General features: G+C 47.4%; 2 annotated features.

Annotated features, from left to right (window-relative positions):
- Positions 13343-13844: an enhancer, noted in NCBI's record as "H3K4me1 hESC enhancer chr17:71902449-71902950 (GRCh37/hg19 assembly coordinates)". NCBI's record gives its function as "activates a minimal SCP1, AML or CMV promoter by ChIP-STARR-seq in naive H9 embryonic stem cells {active_cell/tissue: H9 hESC(naive)}" and the evidence as "EXISTENCE:reporter gene assay evidence [ECO:0000049][PMID:30033119]".
- Positions 17870-18070: a silencer, noted in NCBI's record as "peak2991 fragment used in MPRA reporter construct". NCBI's record gives its function as "represses an SCP1 promoter by STARR-seq MPRAs in K562 erythroleukemia cells {active_cell/tissue: K562}" and the evidence as "EXISTENCE:reporter gene assay evidence [ECO:0000049][PMID:32103011]".

Below are 18693 nucleotides of genomic sequence, written 5' to 3' on the forward strand. Positions count from 1 at the left end.
CTGAAAGAAAAACTGAAATTGAGAGACAGGGTTGAGGTTGGAGATTCAGGTGAGGCAGGTGAATACACGAACTCCTGTTGTGGGCTTAGTTCTCCCTTTGTTAGCTCCATGTTTATATCATGGTGCTCCTGAGGCTAATTATGGTTTTGGTTCCCAATCTGAGGTCACGTGAGCTTAGATGTGGATCTTTCCCCATTGGAGCCATCAGATGAGACCCCAGCCCTGGGAAACATCTTGATTTTAGTTTGCAAGAGACTCTGAAACAGACGACCTAGGTAAGCCACACCTAGTTTCTTGACCCACAGATACTGTGAGATAATAAACATGTGTTGCTTTAAACTACTATGTTTCATGGCAATTTGTTATGCAGCAATGGGTAACTAATGCAAGGAGGTCAATCGAAGGGGAGGGTGGCACAGGTATTAGTGTTTGAGATTTGTGGCTGGATATAAGTCAGAGAGGAAAACAAGTAGGCTCTGACCCAAGAAGTTTAGATAGAGAGTGGCAAGTGGGGTCTCAGGCAAAGGGGTTGGCTAGAACATTTGCTGAGCCTGGCTGGGGACCCCTAATACCTGCCAAAGATGTCGGTAAAGTGGAGAGGTCTGGAGCCAGATGGAGAAGTAGCTTAACTTTCAAAGAGCCCAGGCCAGCTGAGAGCCTCACCCTGTCCTACTCATAGATGATCAGTTGAGTCATCCTGAAATATACATTCAGAACTATATTAAGGGGGCCAATAATTGCTACCACTTATTATGCACCTGCTATAGCTCAGGCTCAGTTCTTTTGCCAACATGACCTCTATTCTCATGACTCTGAGAAGCAGGTGTCATTATTCCTATTTGAGGATTAGAAAGTGAAATTCAGGCAGACCAATAACTTGCTGAAGGTCATTCAGCTTGTAAGTGGCAGAGCTGGGTTCAAACCCACATTGAGCCCCAAAGCCAGTCCTCTTTCTCTTAGAATTCATTCTCCCACCCACCCTCCAGGCAATCAGATGGGCCCCAGGAAAACCTCACATCAAGCTGACTTTTTCCACCACCTTGTCACGACCCACTTGCATAATCTCTCAGCCATTATTATTCCTCTCATAAAACCTCATCCCTATTAAAAAGTGTTTCCTCACCCATCAGCACCCTGATTGTAAAATATAACAAAAAACCTGTCTTTTGCTTAATTTCAAGATATTTATATGACACTTTGAAATGTCAAACGTTTTCATTAAATCCTCTCACACTTGGGCTGACAAAGGGACACCGGGATCTTTGGGAGACACTTTAATCTCAATCAATTAGGAATAAAGTAGTCCTAGCAGTGTGGTGATAAAAGAACACTTTAATTTTAGAGCTAATTAAATATCAACAATTGGAATGCAGCAACACTTAACCTGCAGTAACCCATTATTTATTAGGAATATAATGCATTGACTCTGGGTATGAAGTGAGTTGTAGTATTTTAATATCAGCTGTCACAGTCCAGCGGGTCCCTTTTGTTTCACTCCAGCATAGTCATTTCCCAGGCTCTGCTGGGATCACTCCAGCACCCTCACTCAACACAAGATTAATTAAGCTGGAGATGAGCACACACACACACACACACACACACACACACACACGATGGCCATGAGGGTGCCTTGCCCCAGGCAACACAACCCCGAGCTGGCAAGAGGGCAGCCTAGGCAAGTAACAGTTGATCCAGGCATGTCAGAAGCCTGAGTCTTGGAATGGACAAATTAGGATGCTTTTGGCTGCAAGTAACAGAAAGAAAAAGACCCTGCCTAAAAGAACATTAACAATAAGGGTTTATTATCTTACATAAAGAAAAGCTTGGGGACAGATAGGGTTGCAAAATTGGATAAATCTGAGGCTTGATGATATTGTCAGCTACTAGCAGCTCTCTTCTATCCACTCTGCCATCCTTCACAGGTGAGTGATGTCACTTGGTGGCAGCTGCAGCTCTCTCCCACATGCAGGGTGGGGTCTTGCAAACAGGAGGACGCTTCTCTCTGTGCATCTTTTACCCCTCATTCCTTTTTGTTACATTTTTTAGTTTGTAATACATTTAGATGTAATTAAAAGCTGCAAACATAGCACACAGAGTTCCTGTATACTCCCCATCTAGTTTCCCCTCTTATAAACTAAAAGGCAGGTTTTATTCGGATCTCACTAATTTTTCCACTTTCTTCCCTTTTTCTGATCCAGGGTCCCACCCAGGATGCTGCATTGCAGTTAGTGGTCCCGTGTCCTCAGTCTCCTCTGGTCTATGATAATTTCTCAGTCTTTTCTCGGTTCTGACAATCTTGACACTTTTGAGAAGTGCCAGTTAGGGATTTACTAGAATGTACTATCACGTGGCTTTGTCTGATGTTTTTCTCACCGTTAACTGAGGTTATGAGCTGTTGGGGAAGGGACCACAGAGGGGAAGTTGTCCCTCCTCATCACACTCTATCAGGGGGTACATGATAGCACACGACATTTCTAATGATGTTGGCCTTGGCCAACTGATCAGGATAGGGTTTGCCAGATTTCTCCACTGTAGAGTTGCACTACCGTCCTCTCTCCCTGCACCTTTTTATTGGTGAAAATAAAAATAAAAATAAAAATAAAAATAAAAAACCCTTTCTTAAAGCCATCTAGCTCTTGTCCCCTTGACCCCATGTCCACGCCTAACCAAACACCAGCAAACTGAATCAAATAGGTTTTAACCCACCATAATTCACACCCTGGGGCTGTGGGCGAGTGGGTGGGGTCATCATCACTGAACACACTTGCTCAAACAGAGCTCAGCTAAGTGAGAAGGAAAGAGGGGTGGAAAGGGGAATCAAACAGCAGACGGGCATCCCACAGTGCCGGCCCCTGAAAGTCATCTGCGTGAACATCACTAACCTGTCCCAGCAGCTTGCCCTATGCAGTACAAAAACTAATGAAGGGTAGCTACAGGCACCAACAGACATAAGCAAGTCACCAAGGAATAGCTCCAGGATAACACCACACCACATCCCAGTGACAGTGCCGGCTTGGGAGCCAGACTGCTTGGCTGGTTCAAATCCTGCTTCTATCCCCTGCCAGTGGTGTGACCTCGGGAGAGTTCGTTACGTTTCCCATACCTCAGTGTCTTCATCTTAAAAATGGGGATGATTATCATAAAGTACACATGAAGCTGAATAAACACATAGTAAGCCTGTGTAAGTGTTAGCTATGATTCCATTTATATTGAGCTCAATAATGTGCAAAAATAAACAACCTGTTGTTAGGAACACAATCGTGCATGGTAAAACTATATCGAGGAGTGTGAATGCTATACCCAGAAGTCAGCACAGGGCTTCTCTGTTAGGGGAGAACTGAAAGGAAGACAGATACCCGGGGTCCTCCCAGCTCCTATAATCATCTGTTTCATAAGTGGGGCTCACGGGAACTCACTGTATTAATTTTTCTAACTTACATACACATGGCTCATTGTTTCCACAGGTGAGAATTATTTCATAATAAAAGTAACCTGTCAGGCTCCTCTGTGCCCTGTCTTCAGAGGTGAGGTGGAGCTCCCTGGAGCCAGAGGCAAGCTGGACTGCTGGTTGGTAGCTGCAGGATACAAACCTTCCGCTGACGATCCACAGAGATAACCTGCCCTCTGGGTGCTGGAGTCGGAGTCAGGCCCACGTAGGTCCAACTCCGTCATTTTTCAGCAGTGTGACCTTGATCAAGTTACTTCTCCTGGTCTCACTGTTTTTAGCAGTAAAATGGAAATGCAGAGGTTTTAACCCTCCAACTAATCAGGGTTTGGAGGAGGATCTAGAAGCAAGGTCAATGAAGATGTTACCTCTTGAGTCATTGTGTTTAAAGCCTCCGGCAATAAGCTCGTGGGCTGGCTACTCCAGACCTCCCTGGTATCCCTATTTCACCATGCAAAGGTCTAGTTCCCTCCCCTCCCCTAACAGCCATAAGTTTGCCCTTGGATCTATGGCTCTGACATCTGGTCTCCATCAGCATTTGCAGTTTCCATTTCTTGGTCTTTGCTCCTGGTGTGACTTCCCCTGACCTACTCTGATGGCTGGTCAGCGAGCTAGATGATCATTCATTTCTAGAATGGTCTGCCAGACTCCAGACCCCTGTTCATCTCTGGAAATGCTAAAGCACTGAAGGAGTAGAAAGAATTGAAACATATGGCTCACTTCTTACTAGATGTAAGATTTTGGACACGTCCCCATCTGTTCAACGAAGATGACAGTCACTATCTTGCAAGAATTTTTGTAAAGATGGCATGAAATAATGGATGCGGAGTATTTAAAGAACCTGGAGCAGCATGATACATTACATACCTGATGGTTATTAGGTAGGCAATAAACAGGAGTAATAATTACTACAATATCCAGCAAATATAGTTTACACTTAAAAAGAATTGGCTGCATTTTTCTTTCACTTTTTTCCATTGATTTTTACAAGTAAATGTAATCAAGGTCGTTGGCTGATATCACAGTTTGCGTCGCTAATTTGCTGGAAGCCTTCTGACCATGTACCTAGACCTTGATCTGTGATTTACTGCTGTAGAAATGGTAACAGAGAAAAAGAAAGAGGGAAGAGGTGACAGTCTACTTTTAAAATTTCAGGATAAAGAAAATAGCTGGTCTGGCATCAAAATGAAGGTTGTCATGATGGCTGATTCTCACAGCAAAATACGTGCCTTCTTAAGGGAAGAGAGAAACATGTTTAACTCAATCCTGTTCTCTGCTCTCATCAGAGAACAGGGCACTGGCTCTGGAATGGATAGTATAAGCAAATGTGGATATGGGGCATAAAATAAATGTTAGGATTGCACCTTTAGAGACTATTTATTCCATCTCCCTACTTAGAGGAAAAACTTTGCCTAAATAAAGTATGGCTACGAGGTTCCTTTTCAAGACCAGCCTTGACTTGGAGAGTAATTGACAGGAACACTGCATTAAGAAGGATTCTGCTGCACATTCCCGGCTAAGCTGGAAAGATGGCATGATGGGTGGTTATGTCTACTCTGGGTGCAGGAGGAGAGTCATGGCTGCATTTATGGGTCTATGATCAGTTTTCCATGGCCTTGAACCTTTCCTGGTTCTCTTAGTTAGAATTTGGAAACATGGTCAAGCCACATGGTCACCAGTCAGCTGGGTACGACGTAACAGCTGCAGGCATCAGACAGGACAGGCTAACGTTGAAAATCAGGCAGCTCTGGAAGAGCTCCAAACCCATATTAACCTCTTTATAATTAAATTATTTGTCCTATGGTCCTTGCCGAAAAAAAGCAAAGGGGCCTCATGCCATGTGTGATTTTTTTTTTTTTTTTTTTTTGAGACTGAATCTTGCTCTGTCGCCCAGGCTGGAGTGCAGTGGCACGATCTTGGGTCACTGCAATCTCCGCCTCCCAGATTCAAGCGATTCTCCTGCCTCAGCCTCCAGAGTAGCTGGGATTACGGGCATGTGCCATCACGCCCGGCTAATTTTTGTATTTTTAGTAGAGACGGGGTTTCACCAAGTTGGTCAGGCTGGTCTCAAACTCCTGACCTCAAGTGATACACCTGTCTCGGCCTCCCAAAGTGCTGAATTACAGGTGTGAGCCACCGCACCCGGCCACCATGTGTGATTTTGAGGGGAAATTCTATTGCCCCTTCCCCATGCTCAGCTATTACCTAACCCTTTCATGTGCCTACAGGGATTCATTTCTGCTTCTTGTGTCTGCTGTTGTGCTCAGAACCAAACTTCCACCCACGGGGGTTCAGGGTCAAGGACTTGGAGTTGCAGGCCTTGTTTTATTTACTAGCTCTCCAATTTTGGGCCTCTTACTTTACCTCTCTAAGCCTCAGTGTTCTCAACTGTAAAATGGGGATAAAAATAGTACCTACAGGCCAGGCGCGGTGGCTCACACCTGTAATCCCACCACTTTGAGAGGCCAAGGCAGGTGGATTGCTTGAGCTCAGGAGTTCAAGACCAGCCTGGGCAATGGTAAAATCCCATCTCTATCAAAAATACAAAAAATTAGCCAGGTGTGGTGGTTCACACCTGTAGTCCTAGCTACTCAGGAGGCTGAGGCAGGAGGATCAAGTAAGGCTGGGAGGCAGATGTTGCAGTGAGCTGAGATTGCACCACTGCACTCCAGCCTGGACAAGAGAGAGAGACTGTCTCCAAACAAACAAAAAAACAAAACAAAATAAAAAAACTACCTACCTCATAGATAGAACGACCACCTAATTTATTGTCCAAACTGGGACACTTATAAAAATTCTTCATAATTACATCAGGAGAAAGGCATCATTGGGAATAATCCCACAAAAATCTCAGTGCGTGGTGTCACCCTCCAAATGGGGACGTTGTACAGATGCAAGCAGGAAACGTAGATACGTTCCTGGAACAGACGGCAGGAGCATGTGGGCTGTTCCTGGCTTTTCTTGTCTACACAGAACTTTCTACTATAATTGTCCCCCTCTCTTTGGCGTCATTGTTGTCTTCCTCTCTCCTGGGCCATTTCACCAACCCATAAACACGCATTAATAGCTCCCTCTTTTTTTTTTTTTGAGATGGAGTCTTGCTCTGTTGCCCAGGCTGGAGTGTAGTGGTGTGATCCTAGCTCACTGCAACCTCCGCCTCCTGGGTTCAAGCAGTTCTCCTGCCTCAGTCTCCTGAGTAGCTGGGACTACTTAGAGCCCACCACCACATCTGGCTAATTTTTTTTGTATTTTTAGTAGAGACAGGGTTTCACCATATTGGTCAGGCTGGTCTTGAACTCCTGACCTCGTGATCTGCCTGCCTCAGCCTCCCAAAGTGCTGGGATTACAGGAGTGAGCCACCGTGCCCCGCCCAGCTCCCTCTTTAAAAATAAGAAAAACAATCTCTTCCCAGCCCTCTCCCCTCTCTGGCCAGTACCCCATCTTTCTGCTCCTCTATAGAAAAACTCCTCCAAAACTGCCTATGTGCTCCAGCTCCATTTCCCTTCTCCAAGGGCTTCTTCTTGACTCAGTGATAGCCGAAGACCTTCCATGGCCTCTACACTCTGCGCGACCTGTCCCCTGCTGATTTCTGTACCTCCTCTCCCACTGCCTCCAGACGACCCACTCTTTTCCCATGTTCCTCAGACACACCAAGCTCTTCCCAAACTCGCGGCCTTCGCATTGACCGTTCCCTCTGCCTGGAACACCTTTCCTTATGTTTTTGCATGATCACTCCTTTGCTTTCCTCAGGTCTTGGCTCTAGCCCCTTCCCTGCCTGGTTTCTTCCTAATACTTCTGCATCCTGAAATTAGATCATATGTTATTTGGATGCAGTGGGATGTTTGGTCTCCCTTTCTGGAAGGTAATTTTCAGGGTCAGGGACTTGTTTGCTCACGACTGTGTCCTCCAAGACCAGAACGGTGCCTGGCATGTGGTAGGTGCCCAAACAGCACTTCCTGAATGAATGAAATGATACGTAATTTTATAGTTTACGATTATTCACAGTATACACTAACATCATTAGCAATAGTGTATGGAGTTAACTGGCCAGGATAGCCAAGCACATTGGAGGTTTTTTTTTGAGTTGACTCCTCCTCCCCCTAACCTATCCCTTTTGCCAGACTGCATGTTTCAGGAGGGCAGTTGTTCCCCGACCTGGGAGGTGCTTCAGCCCACAGTTTTCCAGATGGGCTCATTGCATTTCCTGGGTTCCAAGCTCCTCAGATGTGATTACCACCAGCAGGAGCGCCAACACAGCCCGCGAGCCCTGCCCGTCCATCAGGGATGGGAGGCAGGCAGTCCCTGTTGTCCTTCCTCTCACCCTCTGCCCTCTCAGGCTTCCACTGAGCATTAATCACACAGCCTGAAGGAATGCCTGAAGCAAAGTCCAGTTCAGAGGAGGCCCGCTGGCCTGAAAGAGGAATGGACGAGAATACAGGGAAACCTGCCAGCCTCCACCCACAGGCCTGGTCTAGCTGGCTCCAGGTTCATGGAGCCCCTCTCCAGTCTCCAGGAATGGGTGCTGCAAGAGCTGAGATCTTAGTCCATCACTCTCCGGCCAAAAAAGGCTGAGTTCTGGCAGGTAAGGCTGCTGCTGAACAGTTAAGATAACTATGCTTCCTGTACACCACCCTGCATGGCCTGGGTCCTCCGCACCTTCCCCTCTCACCATCCAGCATTGAGGTGCACCAGGCCAGCTGGTTGACCTCTTCTCTCCCCCTAGTACACTGTGCTCCTTGTCCTGACCCATTTGGGGCCTTTTAAGGCCCCCCATTGTCGCAGAACTTCAGGAATAAAGCTGGATTGGGCACCCGGTCTGTCTCTTTCTGGTTCTGTAATTGAACAGGCTGTTTAATCCAGGGATCGGCAAACATACTCTGCCAAGAGCTGGACAGTAAGTCCTTTAGGCTTTATGGACCACATAGTCTCAGTCATAGCTACTCAACTCTGCCCTTGTAGCTCAAACACAGCCATGGACTATCTATAAAGGAGTGGGTGTTGCTGTATGCCAATAAAACTTTATTGACACGAACAGGAGGTGGGCCACATTTAGCCCATGGACCATAGGTTGCTGACCCTGATTTACCCTTCTGACCCAGTTTCCTCACCTATAATATAGGGACAATAATGCCTTAACATGACCACTGAGAGTTGATACAAACAAAAGTACTTACAACTGCACAATCATGTTGGGTTTTTGTGTTTTATGGCAATCCCTCACCTTGCATCCTTGCCCAGAGGAGCGGGGCAGGCCCCAGCAGTGCCTCGCTGAGTGCTGTGGCCAAGCACATCACTTTGACTTCGTGGCTGGGAGACTGCGAACCTCAGACTACCTGCGTTATGATTTATTTCAGCGTGACTAGTATACATCTTGGTTCTGCAGCGAGTGGAGGGAATGAGGAGGGCCTTTCAAGGGAGGCGGGATTGCATTCGCACCTGATTACGCTGCGCGGACACAACAGAGGCGCCCGGACCCGCAGCCCTGCCTTCGCCGCCTTTGCTGGGCTGTTTGCGCTTCGTTTCCTTCTCGCCGCCCCATGGCGCGCTTTCTCTCTTCTTTATTTCGCCGGTTCTCCCCGCTCCTAACCTGCTTAACAACTTACCTCGCTCTCCCGCTTGCTCTCCCCCCGCCCCCCATCTCCACTGGTTCCCGAGCTTCTCTTCATGTCCCTAATGGCGTGGCTGCGCCAGCATTTAATAAAAGCTGCTGACCGGGAAATCCGAGCTAACTGAATTACTTCCTCATTAAAGAGGCGGGCAGATTCTTGGGCCCCGCGTGCAGCCACCCTCGCTGCCTCCCTCCCCGCCCCGCTCCGCCCTGCTGGTCCCGCCTGCCGTCCGCAATTAGGCGGCAGATGCTTGCCGCCCGGTGGTGGCCTGGGTTCTGCAGGGACTGAGGGGGCTCGTCGGCTTCTCTCCAGGGTGGATCCCAGCTCTGCTTCCTTTTCCTTCCTTCTCAGACCGTCAGTTTCTCAGCCAGGGAGCTCCAGGCCAGCTGGAGATCAGGAGAAGAGAGGTGGCCTGCTCAAGGTCACCCGAGCCTCCTCCTACCCGAGTTCCAACGGAGACCGCTGGCTTTGGCCTGGGCAGGGGAGCTGGTGATTCCTAAGATCTTCCTTTGGCTTCAGAGAAGTTGGCTTCCTGGCAAGGCTTCCAGGAGATTCCCACAAGCCAACTGGAGTCCCCCGAGAAAAAGGAAAGAGGGGTTGGACTCCAAGGATCCATCCGGCGCCTCCTTTCCACCTCCCGGCTCTGTGTCTGTCACCGGACCAGGGCCTCTGATTCCCCGTGTGCCCCCATTGGGTCTTCCGGGGCTGTGCCAGAGGCCTCCTGTCTGGCCAGTACCCCAGGGCGCCACATCCCCAGGCCGGCCTGCCGGCCTCTCCCCTCGGAGTTCCCACCTGCTTCTCTTAGCGAGAGCTTCCCGCGTCGAGGGCTGGCTCAGTGCCAGGCAGCTGGTAAGTGCTTTACAGGTGTTGTTGCGGAGAAAACCAGAAACCGTTATTTTAAAAGCTGGCCATACTCTGAGCCTTTTACTCGCAGGCAATGGAAGATTTACTCGTTCTTTTGTTTAAGAAAACACCTTAATGGGCCTGTTGGCCTCTGGGTACCGTCTAGATGGGAGAAGATTGAGACAAAGAAACATTGGCCTGTTCTGCATCATAAAGTAAAGGGAAGTTTAGGTTCCCTAAGCTAGGGAGGAGTGGAAGGGGGCGGGGACAGGGAAAGGAACCTTGCCAGGCGGATAAAGAGGGAAGAAAACAGGCTGGTTACAGCTTAGGGAGCCTGGATGCTGCGGTCAAACACAGCCTGGAAAAAACACCTTAGACCCTGAAACTGCCACCACCCCTACGGAATCAGGCGAGACGCTGGCCAAAGCTGGATATCCTACATCATTGTAACCCAAGTTTCTTGTCTTGGAATGAAGTTCGTGCAAGAAGAAGCCCCTTTCCGGGACTTGGAATCCTAAACCAGTGCCACTTGGTAACTCTTCACTCTGTCTTTGTTCTCCAGACCTCCCGGTGAAGTGGTTCCGGCCTGTGGTTCTTGGAGATCCAGCTGGTGCTGCTGTTTGATTATAATGCAGTAGTTTGAATTCATGGATGAATGTCCTCTGCATTGTCTCATGCGAAAGGTTCCCAGTAATCTTGTTTAGGAAGGACTGGTGAATGAATTTTGCTTGGAGGACCCCAGGCTTGGGATGTGGTAGCTACTGCCACAGCCTCTACTCTTCTGGCTATCCAGTTAAGGTTAGGCCTTCACAGGAGGGGGCTGTGTGTCTCTGGGACACCTGTTGACCTAAGTGCTGTCCCTCCTATGGCTGGCTGAGAAAAGACCCAGCTTTCTGGGGGTCTCTCTGTCAGCACAAGGCCTGGCTCTTCATCCCCGCTGCCACACCCTCTTCCCTGGTGCTGAGACCTGTTGGGAGTTTGGGAAATCGTAGCCTTGGCTGTTTACCCAGGAACCTTCTCTTTTTCTCAGTGGGTTGCAGGAGAACAGAAAGGGAGGTCAAAGCGTGCTTGCTTGTGTCTGCAGGGGAAGACTCGTTCATGTAGAGGAGTAAAGCCTACCCCAGTGCCAACTCTGAGACTTGGGAAAAATCACCGTTTTATCAGAGTTTATACCAAGGCACTATGAAATTCACAGATGGCTTTGCTCTCCTGTCTTAGTGTGGTTCTCTCCAAAGGAGACCCTGGGACAAGGACTTGGTTGCAGGTAGCTTATTTGGAGAGGGATACCAAGAAGCTGGGGACCCACTCAGGAATCATGGAGAACATGCTTTGAGACTGTCCCCCTCCAAAGGATGGGGGAGCTGAAGCCTTTATCCTCAGACTTGCCCTGCCTTGGCGGAGGGTTATTAAATTCACAGTATTGAATTCCCAGCACTTTAGGGTGCTCAGTGCATAGGTTGCACAGGCTGTGCAAGCTCTTAAGGCACTGGGGAATGATCAGAAGCAAAACATCAGAGAACCCCAGGTGCTTGAGGTAGAAGGCTGCCAGCACAGACAGGTACAGGTGGGAAGATTGCTTGAACCCAGGAGGTTGAGGCTACAGGTACAGGTGGACAGAGAGGTTATGAAAAGTGTTTGCTATAACCCCCAACCCTAAAAGCCCCAGAGCAAATTTCAGAAAGAAATTCAAGTCCTCTAGGGCTGCTGGTAGGGGTGCAAATGAGTTGGGAGAGTGAGTTCCTCATGCCTTCCTTATCCACATAGTTCCAAGGTTTCCATCGTCCAACTACAGTGTTTCAACAAAGAGACATGCTGGGCGTGGTGGCTCACGCCTGCAATTCCAGCACTTTGCGAGGCTGAGGCGGGCAGATCACCTGAGGTCAGGAGTTCAAGACCAGCCTGGCCAACATGGCATAACCCCGTCCCTACTAAAAATACAAAAATTAGCCAGGCGTGGTGGTGGTCTCTTGTAATCCCAGTTATTTGGGAGGCTGGAGTGGGTGAATCGCTGGAACCCGGGAGGTGGAGGTTGCAGTGAGCCAAGATCACACCATTGCGCTCCAGCCTGGGCAACATAGCAAGACTCCATCTCAAAATAAATAAATAAATAAATAAATAAATAAATAAATAAATAAATAAATAAAAATAAAGTAAATAAACAAAGAGACAGTAAATGCCTGGAGAATGAATTAAGACCCATAGTTCTGGGTTTTTAATGGGATTGTCGAAGAGCTAGACCCATGATGAATTTAGGAAAATTTGGGATAGATATGACAAAAGAGTTTATAGCCATAATATATAAAGCCGTGCCATATTCAATAAGAAAGCAATCACAAGCTGACAGAGAAAACAGTCAAATTATACCAACAGGCAGTTCACCAAAAAATACATGCATATTGCCAATAAATAACTAAAACTATTTCTATCTCATTTGTAATAAAACATAATTTCAGACAAGGTATTATTCTTTCCCCATCAGATTGGCAAAAAGTTTACAAGATTGATACCAGCCAGGGTTGGTGAGGGTGTGGGGAGAGAGACATTCTCAGGCTGTCCACTCTTTTCAGAGACGAGTTTGGCAATATGCATTAAACATGAAGGGTGGGCATGAACCTTGACCAGTTCCACTGCTAGGCATGTACCCCACAGAAATATCAGTATCACCATATATGCACAAAGATGTTACATACAAAGAAGTTCCTTTCAGTTATACTAACAAAATTCGAGCCAGTCTAAGTGTCTATGAGGGATGTAGTTAAAGTACAGCACATCCAGGCCAGGCATGGTGGCTCACACCTGTAATCCCAGCACTTTGAGAAGCCAAGGCAAGAGGATCACTTTAAGCCCAGGAGTTTGAGATCAGCCTGGACAATGTAGTGAGACCTTCTCTATCAAAAAAAAAAAAAAAATCAGCCAGGTGTGGTGGTGCACACTTGTAGGCTCAGCTACTTGGAAGGCTGAGGTGGGAGGATTGCTTGAACCCAGGAGGTTGAGGCTGCAGTGAACTGTGATCATGCTACTGCACACCAGCCTGGATGACAGAGTAAGACCCTATCTCAAAAATAAATAAATAAATAGCATGTACATACCCTGGAATACTATACAGCTATTAAAAAGAATGAGAGAGACTTGTCAGAGGTCCTTTAAGTAATAGAGGAAGGTCTCCGAACACTATTTTATTATTCTATTTTTGTAAAATAAATAACTATATCTACAGTTTGTATGTGTGTGCATTGAAAATGATCTGGCAGGTTCCACAGCAAATTGTTAATGATGGTGACCTCTAGGGAATGAGATCAGAGTGGGGACAAGCAGGGGAGGTGGTAGGAGGCAGTGGTGCAGTGAAGTGGAATGTTTTTCTATACTCTTACTTGGTTTGTTATCTTTATGATGAGCAATTTAATGAAAACCAATCAAATCTGAAACACGGGGAATAGGTAGAATTGAAAAGGATTTTAGCAACTCTCAGTTCCTGCTTTACTTTCCTGGGTCTTCATAGGACAACTCCAGGCTCATTTCATAAATGGAAAGTTGGGCATCAGAGACATAGTGTGAACCCCTGCCCCCCTCTAGTTACACAGATTCTAGGGCCCAGGCTGACTGCTTTCAGGCTGATCTCTGGAATGGCTTTTAATGTATAAGTAAGGGAGATGTATCAGTTAGCTATTGCTGTATGCCAAACATCCCAAGTCTCAGTGGCTTAAAACAAGCATTTATTATTGATCATGCGTCTACAGGACAACTGGACTGGGTTCGACTGATCTCATGTGGAATTACTAAGGCGTTTGTGATCAGCTCGTGAGCTGGCCCATGGTGGGCTGGCCCAGGATCTGGGCTTTGACGCCTTGGCTCCCCTTCAGGTGCCTCTCGCATCACTCTAGCAGGCTCGCCTAGGCATGTTCTCATAGTGGGAGCATAGGTGTGTGGTGGAAATGCACAAGCACTTTTTCAAGTTGTGCTTGAGTCAAAGTTACGACCATGGACCAAAGCAACCTCCTGGGGAGTGTGGGAGGTCATGACTTCAGGGCCTGGATAGAGGGAAGCCATTCGCAAGGCCACAAACGCAATCAGTCTCCTACAAAGACCAGCTCAGGACCTGCAGCAGTCAGAAGGGATTGGAGGTGTCCCCTCCCCAAAGCTTTGGAAGCCTTGCTGCCAGAGTCCAAGTTCTGAGTCGGTGCTGGTCACTGCAGCCTGGGGATAAAGAAGCCCAGTCTTTCCGCTGCAGGAATGGCCCCCACGGGAAGGCAAGCCATCTCCAGCTGTGATTAGTTGGAGATCAGCAGTATCCAGCCAGCCTCCCAATCTCACCTGGGGTCCCGGCGACGGGGGGCCTGAGGATGAAAGGATGGTGGGTAGTGGGCAAGGGAGGAGGGAGGAGTTAAATAAAACACCAGAGCAAGCCCCAGAGGTGTGAATTTGCCCTTGGTCTTCATCTAACAGGGCTGTCTGCCTCCCCTCCTTTTTTCTCCCATGTCCTCCACCCACACCTGCCTCTGAATGTGGTGAGCCAGGAACTGATTGCACAGAAACTTCTCATTTTTAGTTTTACCTCAGGTGGTTGCAAATCTCCTTCCTGCTCAGAGATGGGGACTGAGCCTGCCCCTTGGCATCCTGGTCCTGCTGCCTGCCCCCTCCGTGGCCCCAGCCCCAGCCCCCAGCCTGGACCCCATGCTCCTCCTCAGCACTCTGTCACTGACAGCGCCTTCGCAGGCTACAGGGACTCTGGTGTGGAGTGATAGATTCTGCCTTTTCCTGCTTTCAGGAAATATTGCCATTCGCTTCGCATTTATCCTGCCCCTCATCACCACATGGAGGCCGAGGCTGAGGCGGGCTCGTAGTCATCTATTATCTGCCTCTGTTGGAGGAGGAGGACAGGCTTGCACCGGGAGTGCCAGGAGGTGGGCTGGGGCTGGGGAGATGGAGCTCTCATTCAATAAGCCACAAATATTTATTGGGAGTCGGCTGTGCACATAGAAGTGCAGGTACTGAAAGGAGAGAGAAAAACGGTGCCACAGGGCCAGGGGACACACCCTCCTACCAGACTCACAATGGGGCAAGAGAGGTGGGACATTAGCTGTTAGAGGCTGAAACCGCAAACACCCCTGTGGAAGTAACAGTACAAGAGTGCTAGAGGGTGATTTGAAATCAGGTATAAAAAGCTTTCCATATGCATGCCCTTTGATCCAGCAGTTCCACATCTAGAAATTATTCTAAATGTGTACAGAGATGCGTGTACAAGGTTTATCAGAGCATTATTTATAGCAGAGAAAAGCAACTGGGAAACAAGTTCTGCAACTTATGGTACATCCATATAATGAAATGCCATGCCAACATTCAAATGCATGTGGTAGAAAAATATTTATCTTCAAGACAAGGTCTCGCTCTGTCACCAAGGTTGAAGTGCAGTGGTGTGATCATAGCTCACTGCAGCCTCAGCCTCCCTGGGCTCAGGTGATCCTCCCACTTAAGAAAAATAATTATTGGTATACAGAAAAAGCTTGTGAACCATCATCAAGAGATAACTTCTATAATATTGGTGTGTATAATTCTGGCCATTTTTATACATACACTTATTTATTCACAAATGAGATAGTAGTAATTATTCTATTGCCTTCCTCATCCCCTCTTCCTAAAAGGTCTAGGGAAGTTTATTAAAAAACTAAATGGGATCATTGAGAGTAGGGGCTGAGAGAGCTGTGAACCCTGCTGGTCCCAAGAGCATCCACGTTGTCACACAGACCTCTAACAAACGATGTTTATCACAAGCACCTTGGAGCCAAGCATCTCTTAGGAAGGCAGCCGAATGTGTGAGTAATTTAGAAAGATTTCCATTCAAAAGGACCCCACAAAAGTCGTGACAGTAAGAGAATGGAGATAGGTGTTACTGAAACTTTAAATGGTTGGACAAACAAGGGCATGTCCTGATGTTCCAGATGAATATCTGTGCACCTGAGTATAATCAGCATCTCTCACCTTCCTATGAGAATCGATTTTGTTCACCCCTGTCCCTAGGCTGCGGATACCAAAGGCAAAGTCCCCAAATATTCTCTGCCTGCCAGGAATCTCAAACCCTTTGAAGGGAAAGCTTGATGGTGTTAGGAACGTAGAGGTTTTCCAGAGAAGGGTCTGTTTTGGCAATGATGGGGTCAGTGCTAAACAGTGAGTCCAAGATGGCTGAATGAGAGCAGGTGTTCTGACTTCAGGTGTGGGCTGCAATGATGACTAAGGAGTTTCTGGAAGATCCGTCTGGACCTTGAAGGTTGAGAGAGGTTTCAGCAGGTAGGTAGGGAAAGATCAGCAAGACAAGCAACTGAGGCTTAGAGAGGTGGCCTGACTTATGCCACACCAGCCAGCTTAAGAGGGAGCCTTGAACTTGGGCGGTGCTCTGGCTTCTGCAGAGCCAGGTGTACCTCAGAAGGACCGAGCCTGAGGAGGGGAGGTGGGAGACAGCCTCTCAGCTCCACTCTGATGAAATGTCTTGAACGTAGTTATCCCGTGCAGAGTGTAATGGAGGGAAGTCCTGCGCTCCGTGCTGCTCATTTGCATGTGTAAATGCATGTGTATATATATTGCTTATTAATGTCAGTGGAATTTGCATTTTAAGTGGATTGCCTTGTTGGGCATGTTCTTTAGAGCCCTGGACTTGAGCAGAATTTTCCAACTTGAAAGTTGCTGTTCCCTGCGCAATAAGCAATTGGGCTCTTTCTCAGGGGCCAAAAAAAGGGGGATAGATGGTTGTGGTGTAGAAGAAGGAAAGGGGCAGTGAATAGGGTGTCCAGACAACAGTGACCAGTGACTCTGGGCAGGCAGCAGCTTCTCTGTGCCCCAATCTCCTCATCTGCACTGTCTCCCCTGCTTACCTCACCGGGTTGACTTAGAATCCTGGGAAGATCATTGTCACAGTGGGTAGAAAAGTGGAAGACTCTACAGCTATAGGGGTGATTATCATTCCCACAGCCCAAATAGCAGCCATTGGTGCATTCTCTGCTGCCAGTGTTCATATGTGCTATCTGTCTCCGCACCTCCACCTGGACACAGAACCTGGCACATCTTCGAGTCTTTCCTGCTCCCCAGACAACTTTAATCATCAGCCTGGACTTCTCTAGAGAGGAGAGAATGGGGTTGTCTTGAAGACACAAGAACGAAAACATCCACACTGGACATTCTGTTCTCCAAATCCCATGTGTCAGGCCCCTTTCTCCACTCAGCAGCTGTCCCAGTGGTCTCTGCTCTGGAAATGTCAATTGCCTCAACTCCTATGTGTTGAACAATTTGACTACACTCCAGCTTTTATGCCCACATTTGCAACCCATCAGGATGCTGGGCAAACAAAAGGGCCTCCAGTTCATCAGACGCCCCATCCAGGGAAGGGAGTTGGGACCACAGACCTCAATTTGCCCATTATTTCAACACCAGGGCACTTCACTTCAGCAGTGGAATGTTGCCTTGTTTCCCAACTCATTAGCTCATCTGCTCGTTGTCCCCTGATTTGATGACAAGAATCTGGCTTCCTGAGCATCTGAGGGCATATCACGGCTGTCATCACAGAAGTGACAGTGACTATGGGCTTGAGTCAACCATGCTTGTCTGGGCCCAGCTGCAGCCCCAGAGAACAAAGAACACTGGTACTAAGGGTAACCAGGAGGTGGGAGAGGGCAGAGAGATGGGGGACAGTTAGCTTCGCTACCAGTCTGTCTGAAGGGTATAAATAAGTGGATACAAGACACAAATCTCACATGCTGAAGAATTTCAAATCATTGACTTTGTTACTCCACCCTTATGGAGTAGAGAACAGCTCTTCACTCCTTAAGTGTGGGCTGTGCATAGTGATCTTCTTTCAAGAGTATAGTATGGAAAGGCAGAAAGAAAAGAGAAGTTTTCCAGGGTAGAAACCCAGCATGACTACCTGTATGCACCCTTGATAGGATGTGATAAGAAGATTATGATCCTGTGATTAACTTGGGTGATATGTTTTGGAGGGGAAGATCACTTTACCTCTGTGGTCTTCCCCTCCAAAACATACCCAATCTGATTATAGGAAAAACATCAGACAAACCCCAACTGAGGAACGTTCTACAAAATAACTGACCAGCATGCCCCAAAACTGTCAAGGTCATCAAACCCCCTCAAAAAAGCCTGACTCATAGGCAGGAGGAGGCCAGGGAGACGTGACTACCAAGTGCAATGTGGTTTCCTGGATGGGATCCTGGAACAGAAAAAAAAAAAAACTACAGAAATCAGAATAAAGTATAGACTTTGGTTAATAATAATGTATTAATATTGGTTCATTATTTGTGACAAATGTACCGTACTCATTTAAGGTGTTAATAATAGGGAAATAATAGAGGAAGCAGAGTGAGGAAAAAGGAACTCTCTGTACGATCCTTGGGATAATTCTGTAAACCTAAAACTGTTCTAAAATGAAACATCTGTGAAAAAAAAACTTGGCAAACAATCAGGATTTGTTACTATATTCAAACCTCTTCAACTAAACAAAGTGGCTGTTTTGTTTTAGGTTTTCTGCACCATCGTTTCTCACTGATGTTGGCATCATCAGACTGTCAAAGGCTAAACAGCACCTTTAAGATGCCTGGCAGCAAGTCCATCCAGCCCAGGAGAAAATGGTCCAGGCCAGGGACATGCTATTTGTCAGAGAAAATTACTTGGATTGCTCCCCACTCCTCATCCCAGGGTGTGCCCCACCTTCTGATACTGAAAAGACTCATCTGGGGTATCTACACTCTGCAATTATTGTGTAGTCCTAGGTAGTGTGCTTATCTCCATCAGGATTCA

This window comes from Homo sapiens, chromosome 17 (genome assembly GCF_000001405.40).
Source record: "Homo sapiens chromosome 17, GRCh38.p14 Primary Assembly".
In the NCBI taxonomy this organism is placed as follows: domain Eukaryota; kingdom Metazoa; phylum Chordata; class Mammalia; order Primates; family Hominidae; genus Homo; species Homo sapiens.